General features: G+C 39.3%; 1 annotated feature.

Annotated features, from left to right (window-relative positions):
• Positions 1,188-1,891: an enhancer, noted in NCBI's record as "NANOG-H3K4me1 hESC enhancer chr5:44911606-44912309 (GRCh37/hg19 assembly coordinates)". NCBI's record gives its function as "activates a minimal SCP1, AML or CMV promoter by ChIP-STARR-seq in primed H9 embryonic stem cells {active_cell/tissue: H9 hESC(primed)}" and the evidence as "EXISTENCE:reporter gene assay evidence [ECO:0000049][PMID:30033119]".

A 9,482-nucleotide genomic window follows, 5' to 3' on the forward strand; every position in this document is an offset into this window, starting at 1 on the left:
TTAATGACATTAGTACTAATAGGACTTCTTCAGGCACTGTTTCCAAATTTGTTTGAATCTTTTTTATGATACCTCATTTCCTGAAAGCACAGCCCACTTTGGAGTAGTGTTCTTAACTGGTCTTATTCTATTTATGCTGTTACTTCACAACAGTGTTAGTCTGGTAGCTGCATATTTTCTTAGAACTATTATTGCAGGCTTTATGGATTTTAAGGACTATGCTGCTTTAAAGACAATAATTGTGTAAGTTCCAAACATGTTGGGTAGCACCAGCATTCAAAAATTTCTCAGGCGTGTGAAGTTCATTTTTTAACGAAGAATAAACCCAGGCACAGCCAAGTGTAAGATATTGGAAATAACCATTTCCAAAGTACATCAGAGAAATTTAAAAGGTCACAGAACTCCTTATAACATTAATATTTGACATTTGAATTATTTTCCAGTTTAGCAAGCTGGATAAAGAGCTTCATCTTCAGATGAACTGAAACAACTAAAAATACAAAAACTTTGTCTTCAGTTCAGTCAAGATAAGTTACTGAGAATGCAACTATGTGCAAGGCCAAAGAAGGTTTATAGCACTAAAAGAGGAACTGTTGACAATCATTTTAAATATTTGAACAAAATCATGGTCCTATTCTTCAGAAAGAAACCCAAAGTTTTAAAACCCAAAGTTTTAAACAGTTATTTTAAAGGAGTGCCTGCAGGCAATGTTCAATAGAAGTTAGCATCACCATCATTGTCATCTTCATTATCAGTCATCATGGTGTATGGTTGGTAGCTCAATACAAGCAAAACACACATTCCTTTCTTCAACGTCACTGCCCATATCACTCTCCAGAGTTCTCCTCTCTCTCAAGGAAAATGAGATTTGCCATCAGAAAGCCTTCTTAGGTTATAACTATGACTCTGCTACTTATTGCAACAAAAACTGGGCATATTTCTTAACTTTGGTGAATATATAACTGTTCTATAAAATGAGGCCAAAAACTTGTACATCACAGGTTAAGATAACAATGTAGTCTCTAACACAGAGTAGGTGCTTCCTTTATATGCATTAGTGTTTTCTCTGAAACATGTATTAAATTGAAACACTTTTCAATGCATCCACTCTAGTAGAGAATTCTACTAGTACTAGTAGTACTATAAAATCCATTCTCCACTTTGTCCTTAGTAACAGAACTTCTGAATGTTAACTGGGCAAATTTCTTCCCTAGATATACTCAATTTCTCAGATATCCTTCCAGCTGAGTGTGGCCATGTTAGTTCTGATGAATATAAAAATAGAAATACAATGTTCAACTTCCTAAGAGTATGCTAGATTAGTACTTGACCTACTCCTGTGGCAGGCCAGGTCTCACTAATGCAGGCCTGCATAACAAGAGCTTAAGCACCAACTGAGGGGGTTAAGTTACGTGTTAAAAGCTGAAAGAGCCAGTGCCCTGATACAAAGGCTGGAATGTAAAAAAACCTACCAAGAGTTTTGCCTACACCTTTCCTGGGCCTTAAACCAAGACAAAACAACAAAGAAATTCTTAACAGGAACATTTAGGATTAAACAAGTGTTACTGGGGGTCTGAAGAACTCTGTAAACCTACGTGAATTAGCAGGAGACAAGATAAGGGTAATCACCCCAGAACCTGGACCCATTTAGTTAAGTGAATTTACTGAGGCTTCAGAGGAAGGTCTGCAAGACTCAGACCTTAGTTATAGATTCAAAGAAGTTAATCATTTATGTCTTTAGATGAATGCACGCTTAAATGTAGACATATAGCTTAGAAGGTTTATAAGCTCTGGAAAACTTGTAATTTTGAGTTCATCTGGTGATAATTTCCAGGCCTTCTCCCTGTAACCGGTTACAGAAATTTAAAAAAAAAAAAAAGTTCTTGGCTGGGTACAGTGGCTCACGCCTGTAAGCCCAGCAGTTTGGGAGGCTGAGGCAGGTGGATCATGAGGTCAGGAGATCGAGACCATCCTGGCTAACATGGTGAAACCCCGTCTCTACAAAAAATACAAAAAATTAGCCAGGCACGGTGGCGGGTGCCAGTAGCCCCAGCTACTCTGGAGGCTGAGGCAGGAGAATGGCCTGAACCTGGGAGGCGGAGCTTGCAGTGAGCTGGAGCTTGCAGTGAGCCGAGATCGCACCACTGCACTCTAGCCTGGGCAATACAGTGAAACTCTGTCTCAAAAAAAAAAAAATTCTCTTCCTCCCCAGTTTATCTGCATCTTGTTATTGGGCCACAAGAAATAGCAGCCCGGCCCTCAGTTTGGTCCAGGAACACTCCTTCTCTTTCCTCATTCATATGGACATAATAGGTGGAGGAACAGCAGCCATTTTGGATCAAACCCTAGAAATGGATTGGTTAGAAAGCTGAGAAAACCTGTGTATTTTTAGTGACACATGGCTCAAACTTAGGTGTGTTGTCTGACCCCCACACCTGAGACTGTTAAGTTATTTGGATAAAATCTTATGCATTTAAGCCACTCTTGATTTCAGTTTTCTTTCCCAAGTAGCAAAATTAAATCCTAACTAAAATCTGTCCCAAATTATCTTTGGGAATACAAGCAGAATCAAGATGTTATTCATATATTCTTCTAGTTTAAATATTTTTTGATAGCACTTTTGCTAGGGTCACTTTTTACATAAAGGTCTCAGAAATACTTAAATTATATTTATGGTATACATACAAACAAATTCTATAAGAGCCAGATAAATAGGCATGAAGTTAAAAACAACGGCATTTAAAAACAGGAATCCACTACCTTTCACTGAGCTTTAAGTTCTGTACTTTCCAAAGGGGGCACTGAAAAAAGTGATTAGTGTCTGACCATTTGTTCTGTTTACTGCTGCTGTTTGACACCACACCAACACAACTTAGTGGCTTAAATCAAGACTTAAGCCTTTTTTACACTCCAGAATTTTGTGGATTAAGAATTTGGACAGGGTACAAGTGGACCTGCTACACTGTGCTCTATGGTGTCTGGGGGCCTCAGCTGAGAAGAGCTGAAAGGTGGGGTGACTCAAGAGTTAGGGGGTAGAATTATCTGAAGGTTTTATCCTTACAAGTCTGTAGCCAGCATGTAAAGAGTTGAAGCCTAGCATTTTCGGCTATACTCTTACAGTCTTCTCTGTGTGATTTGGCTTCCTCACAGCATGGTGGCCTTAAGGTACCCAAGCATCTTAGAGAGTGGTACAAGGCTCCAAGTGCAAGTGTTTCAAGAAACAAGATAGAAGCTGCATCACCTTTCATAACTCATTCCTCACTGCTACTGTACTCTACTTGTCAAAGCAGTTCTAGGGGAAGAAATGTCAGAAAATTGAGAGGGCAGGAATATTTTCAAATAGCCACATTTTTGTGTATTGAAGGAAACATAAGCACATGAAAATTTTGTCATGACCAGTGTGCTGGTTCCAGTGACACTATAAGAGACGGAATGAGGAATTAACACAACTTATATCAGGCAAATTCCTGAATGCTGACATGGCCCTTTCAGACTAATGGTATAAAAAGCAGGGAACCCAGATGTATTAGTCTGTTTTCACACTGCTGTAAAGAACTACCGGAGACTGGGTAATTTACAAACAAAAGAGGTTTAATTGACACAGTCGTTCATGGCTGGAGAAGCCTCAGGAAACTTACAATCATGGCAGAAGGTGAAAGGAAGCAAGGCATATCTTACATGATGGCGGGAGAGGGAGAGAGAAATTGAAGTGGAGAAGTGTCACACTCTAAAAGCATCAGCTCTTGTGAGAGCTAACTGTCATGAGAACGGCATGGGGAAAACTGCCCCCCATGATCCAATCACCTCTTACCAATTTCCTCCCCTGTCATGTGGGGATTACAATTTGAGATGAGATTTAGGTGAGGACACAGAGCCAAACCATTTCACCAGAGGGCTGAGTAACTCTAATCTGGCAGGATGATTATCCTACACAGGTTGCAATGGCCCCTGAAATTTGGACGCACTTTGTGAGAGACCAGTGTCTAGATAACTAGGAACTAGGTAAATGTTGGAGAGCTGCTTCCCTTCATTTCTGTCATTGTCTGTTTCATTTCCTTTGCATTGTTTGTTGATCTGTATTAAACAAAAATGAAAGCAAACCTTGTATCTGAGTCTCCATTTTTACCAATCCTCACATTTATGGTTCAGTGTCTTAGTCTGGTTTCGAATAACAAGAACCTTTTGTACTTGGAAGTATAAAACTTGATAGCAGCAACATTATTGATATTTAGAGCTCAGTACCTGTCTAATTACAGGCAGGCAGAAAGAAGTGTCAAGGTATTCTTGCTTATCAGGTCACAGGTAATTTCTTCCTCTAAGAATTCATAAACTGATAGACTAATATTGGAGAAAGAAATGCAATTTAATTGCTGAAAGTCTGTTTCAGTTTACTGGTCTTGTAATAGAGGTAAAATTCTAAACAACTTGGGGAGCTTTGGTGAGAATTAAAATAGGTGGGTGTGAATAGCTCCTGGCACAGAGCAGGCACTAACAACTGCTGGCTTCATTCATTGCAGATAATGAACCAGTAACACAAGTCTGAATTGACACCTCCCTCACACTACTAATTTACTTTATTTTCTTCCTGCCCCACATCAGAGTATGAACATTATATATATATTTTTTTTCTTGTGGGAATTATTTGTAATGGTGGTAGTGGAACTAGGGGATTAAGACATCTAGATTCTGATGTGCCAGTTCCATTTTTCCGTACTGATAATCTAGCATTATGCTGTTATGCAGAGAGGCATTTTTCAATTTAAGTACACCTAGAAAAGGTGCATGGAAAAAAAGCTACATGAAAGCATCAAAAGTCAAAATTATAGCAGAGTCACAGAATGAACATTTTAAAGCCTTGTCTCAACCCCAGATATATGCATAGATTTTTCCAACAGATCATTATAATGCCATTTGACCTTTTTACATCTTCAGTACAATATGTTTTTTAGCTACATTGATGAAAATAGGGGAGCAACTCTCCTTGATGTTAGAGATCTTGGCAAATGTGAAGTATTTAACAATGAATAGACCATGTTATAAATGCGAATTCACCTGCTAAACTCAGTGAAAGGACAGTAACACTGTGGCACCAGTAGGACTGATGAATGGCCAAGAGTTAGGTGTGTTAAAATAAATAACATATAGTATGTTTGTTTATTCCTTTTAACAACCCTCTGAGGTATGTGTTTGTCTCTACTTTCTCCAATGAGAAAGCTAATAAAAGTGATCTTCAAATGCCTTTCTTTCAGTAATTTTGAGAATATGAGTTGAGGTTTTTAATTCTGCCATCTGTAAAGTCATTCAGTTGTTGGGTCCCAGTAGTCACAAGCAACTGAGACATAGAAAGACCCCCTGCCCAACTCAGATGGTGCCCAATGAAATACTTTAATAAGTGAATTTTAAAATATGGCTGTTGAGTGATGACATAGTTTGAATATTTGTCCCCTCCAAATCTCATGTTGAAATTTGATCCCCAATGTTGGAGGGGAGGTGTGGCCTAACAAGAGGAGTTTAGGTCAGGAAGGTAAATATCTCATGAATAGATTAATGCCCTCCCTGGCTTGTTGGGGAGGTGGGGTAGCAAAGTGAGTTTTCTCTCTATTTCATCCCTGGAAAGAAGGTTGTTAAAAAGAGCCTGGCGCCTTCTTCTCTCTTGTTTCCTCTCTTGAAATGTGATCTCTGCTTACATGTTGGTTTCCTTTCTCCTCCTGCCATGGGTGGAAGCAGCCTGAGGCTTTCACCAGATGCTCAGTCTTCTAGCTAACAGAACCATGAGCCAAATTAATCTTTTTTCTTTTTCTTTTTTTTTTGAGACTGAGTCTCACTCTGTCGCCAGGCTAGAGTGCAGTGGCACGATCTTGGCTTACTGCAACCTCCACCTCCTGGGTTCAAGCAATTCTGCCTCAGCCTCCTAAGTAGCTAGGACTACAGGCATGCACCACCAAGCCCAGCTAATATTTGTATTTTTTAGTACAGATGGCATTTCATCATGTTGGCCAGGATGGTCTTGATCTCTTGACTTCGCGATCTGCCCACCTTGGCCTCCCAAAGTGCTAGGATTACAGGCTTGAGCTACCGTGCCCAGCCCAAAAGAACTTTTTTTTCTTTATAAATTACCTACTCTCTGGTATTCCTTTACAGAAATGCAATAAAGACTAAGAGAAATGATATGCACAAGTGATATAAAACAGTTTTTTTTCACATTCTTTTTTATTTTAATTGAAATTTTAATAATAATAGATTACATGCAGTTTTGAGAAATAATACTGAGAGGTACTCTTTACCCAGTTTCCCCAAATGTTACTATCATGCAAAACTATAATGCCATACTGCAAACTGGTTATTGATGATACAATTCAGCTATCTTATTCAGATTTTTTCAATTGTGCTTGTAGTCACATGTGTGTATATGTATTTAATTACATACATTTTTATCATGTGTAGGTTTGTGCATCTTCAATCACAGTCAAGATACAGAATACAGCACTTTGGGAGGCTGAGGTGGGTGGATCATCTGAGGTTAGGAGTTCGAGATCAGCCTGACCAAGATGGTGAAACCTCGTCTGTAGTAAAAATACAAAAATTAGCTGGATGTGGTTGCGGGTGCCTGTAATCCCAGCTACTCAGGAGGCTGAGGCAGGAAAATTGCTTGAACCTGGGAGGTGGAGGTTGCAGTGAGCTGAGATCACACAATGGAACTCTAGCCTGAGTGACAGAGTGAGACTCTGTCTCAATTAAAAAAAATAAAATGAAAGAAAGAGAGACAGAAAGAATAATTTCCTCATAACAAAGATTCCTGATGGTGCCAATTTATAACCACATTCACCTACCTCCCACCCTCCTGCATCCTTAATCCTGACAGCCACTAATCTTGCTTCCATTTCTATAATCGTGCTATTTCAAAAATGTTATATAAATGGAATCATAGAGTATGTAACCCTTTGGGGTTGGCTTTTCTCATTCAACATAATAATTTGGCAATGTACACAGGTTGTTGTGTGTACCAATAGTTCGTTCCATTTTATTACTGAGTAGTATTCATGGAATGGATGTTCCATAGTTTATTTAACCATTCACCCATTGAGTGACATCTGAGTTCGTACTGGTTTTTGACTATCACAAATAATGCCACTATAAATACTCATATACGGGTTTCTCTATGGACATAAGTTTTCATTTCTCTGAGATAAATGCTCAGAAGTGCAATTGTTGGAAAGTTTGGTAGCTGCACATTGATGTTTTTAGGAAAATGCCAAATTTACTTACTGAACAGTTGTACTGTTTTGCACATCCACTCTCAAGGTATGAGTAATCTAGTTTTTCTTTATCAGTGACAGCATTTGGTATTATCACTGTTGTTTGACCCTTTGGGTAAGTATATTGTGATATTTCATTGTCATTTCAGTTTTTATTTTTCTGATGAATGATAATGTTGAATAGCTTTTCATGTGCTCAGTTACCATCTATATATTCTCTTTGATAAAATGTTTGTTCATGTCTTTTGCCCAACTTAATTGTTTACTATTGAGTTTTAAGAGATACCTACTCTCATATATGTATATATATATATTTAATGTTAAGTGAAAGCAGTCAGTCACAGAAGACTATATACTGTAGGATTCTATTTATCTGAGATGTGAAGAATAAGCAAATGAAAACACTACTTTAAAATTATGGTCTTGAAACAAAGTGTGTTAAAGCCGAATGGACAGCCCAATATACTACATGATACAACCAGAATGCACCTTCAAAGTAAAGCAACAAATTTACATTAACAAAGCAGGATGTGGTCTCTCTTAGTCATGAAAAAGAAAAGACAGAGATTTTTTCCTTTTGTGAATAAATTGATAGCATGAACTCTGTATTAGCCTTCTGTTGCTGCTGAAACAAATAACCACAAACTTGATGGCTTAAGACAATACAGTTTTTAAATTTCACAGTTCTGGAGGTCACACATGCAAAATAGGTCTCACTGGGATAAAATCAAGGTGTCTGCAGGGCTGCATTCCTTCTGGATGCACTAAGAGAAAATCCATTGCCTTAGTTTCTTTGCCTTGTGCAGATTTTATGGGCTGCCTGAATTCCTTGGCCTGTCGTCCATTTCCACCTTCAAAACCAGCAATGGCTTTTCTCACATCATATGACTCTGATACTGACTCTTCTGCCTCCGTTATTCACGTTTTAGGACCCTTGTGATTACAACATTGGGCCCAGGTGATTATACATCAAGATATCTCTGTCTTAAAGTAAGCTGATGAGCAACCATAAATTCATCTGCTTCCTTAATTTCCCTTTAGTATGTAATTAACATATTCGAAGGTTCCAGGTATTCTGCCTATCACAACCCTATTCAGAATAGAGCTGAGAGCAGTGGAGTTTAGAACTTTGTTCAGGGCTTATTAAAAAGCAGCCAAGGCCAGGTGCGGTGGTTCAAGCCTGTAATCCCAGCACTTTGGGAGGAAGGATCACAGGGTCAGGAGTTCCGAGACCAGCCTGGCCAATATGTTGAAACCCCTCTCTACGAAAAAATACAAAAATTAGCTGGGCATGGTGGCGGGCACCTGTAGTCCCAGCTACTTGAGAGGCTGAAGCAGGAGAATGGCCTGAACCAAGGAGGCGGAGGTTGCAGTGAATCGAAATCGTGCCACTGCACTCCAGCCTGGGCAACAGAGCAAGACTCTGACTCAAAAAAAAAAAAAAAAACAGTAGCCAAGTCAGCTTTGCTACTCTCCACCACTCCGTGCTTCCTTATCTTGCCTTTCAACCACCAAAAATAGTCGATGCAAGTTTGTCACATTCAAAGAATCCCGAGTCTTCCACAGAGAAAAGATATTCTTCCTCCTTTTCCTCTCCTCCTGACAAGCCAAATGGGGACAAGCTCTAGAGGAATCAGTAGAAGAGATTAGGGAAACATGAAAGAAGGTGACATTGGCAACTCATTTCCTGGATGAGCTTCTTTTCACACAACAGACTTGATGTTCTGCCCTCTGGGCAGACCTAACAGGGGACGTGTTAGAATTAGAGGAAGATGATGAAGTAGACAGATAAAAGGTAGTCAGACACTGGAATATCCACTATGTATTGAGGATGAAAGTCAAGTTGACATAGCAGAAATTAGAACGTTTTATCACCTGACTTTCCCTCCTCCAGCATGTGTGCCCCAAGAGAGCACTACTGGTATTCCTGCCACTAAGAGGCATAAAGAGTTCAGACTAGCTAGAGAAGCCATGAAAGGCAGGAGAAAACTATCATAAAACTGATTAAGTAAAATGTCTCTGCCCACTTTGCTCTAAACACTAATCCTAGTCTTCAAAACCCTGGGGCAAATGGACCCAGTAGAGGAAGAGAAGGGGGATATGGAAGAGCTGACCATGCCCGGTCACAACCTTGGGGAAAGGGGAGGATCTGAGCAATGATGTGGATAAGAGCTTGAGGTTTTAAACTGGGGTAGAGTGCACTGAAATTTGAAACCTAAAACTGGT

The sequence above is a fragment of the Homo sapiens genome, chromosome 5 (genome assembly GCF_000001405.40).
Source record: "Homo sapiens chromosome 5, GRCh38.p14 Primary Assembly".
NCBI lineage: Eukaryota > Metazoa > Chordata > Mammalia > Primates > Hominidae > Homo > Homo sapiens.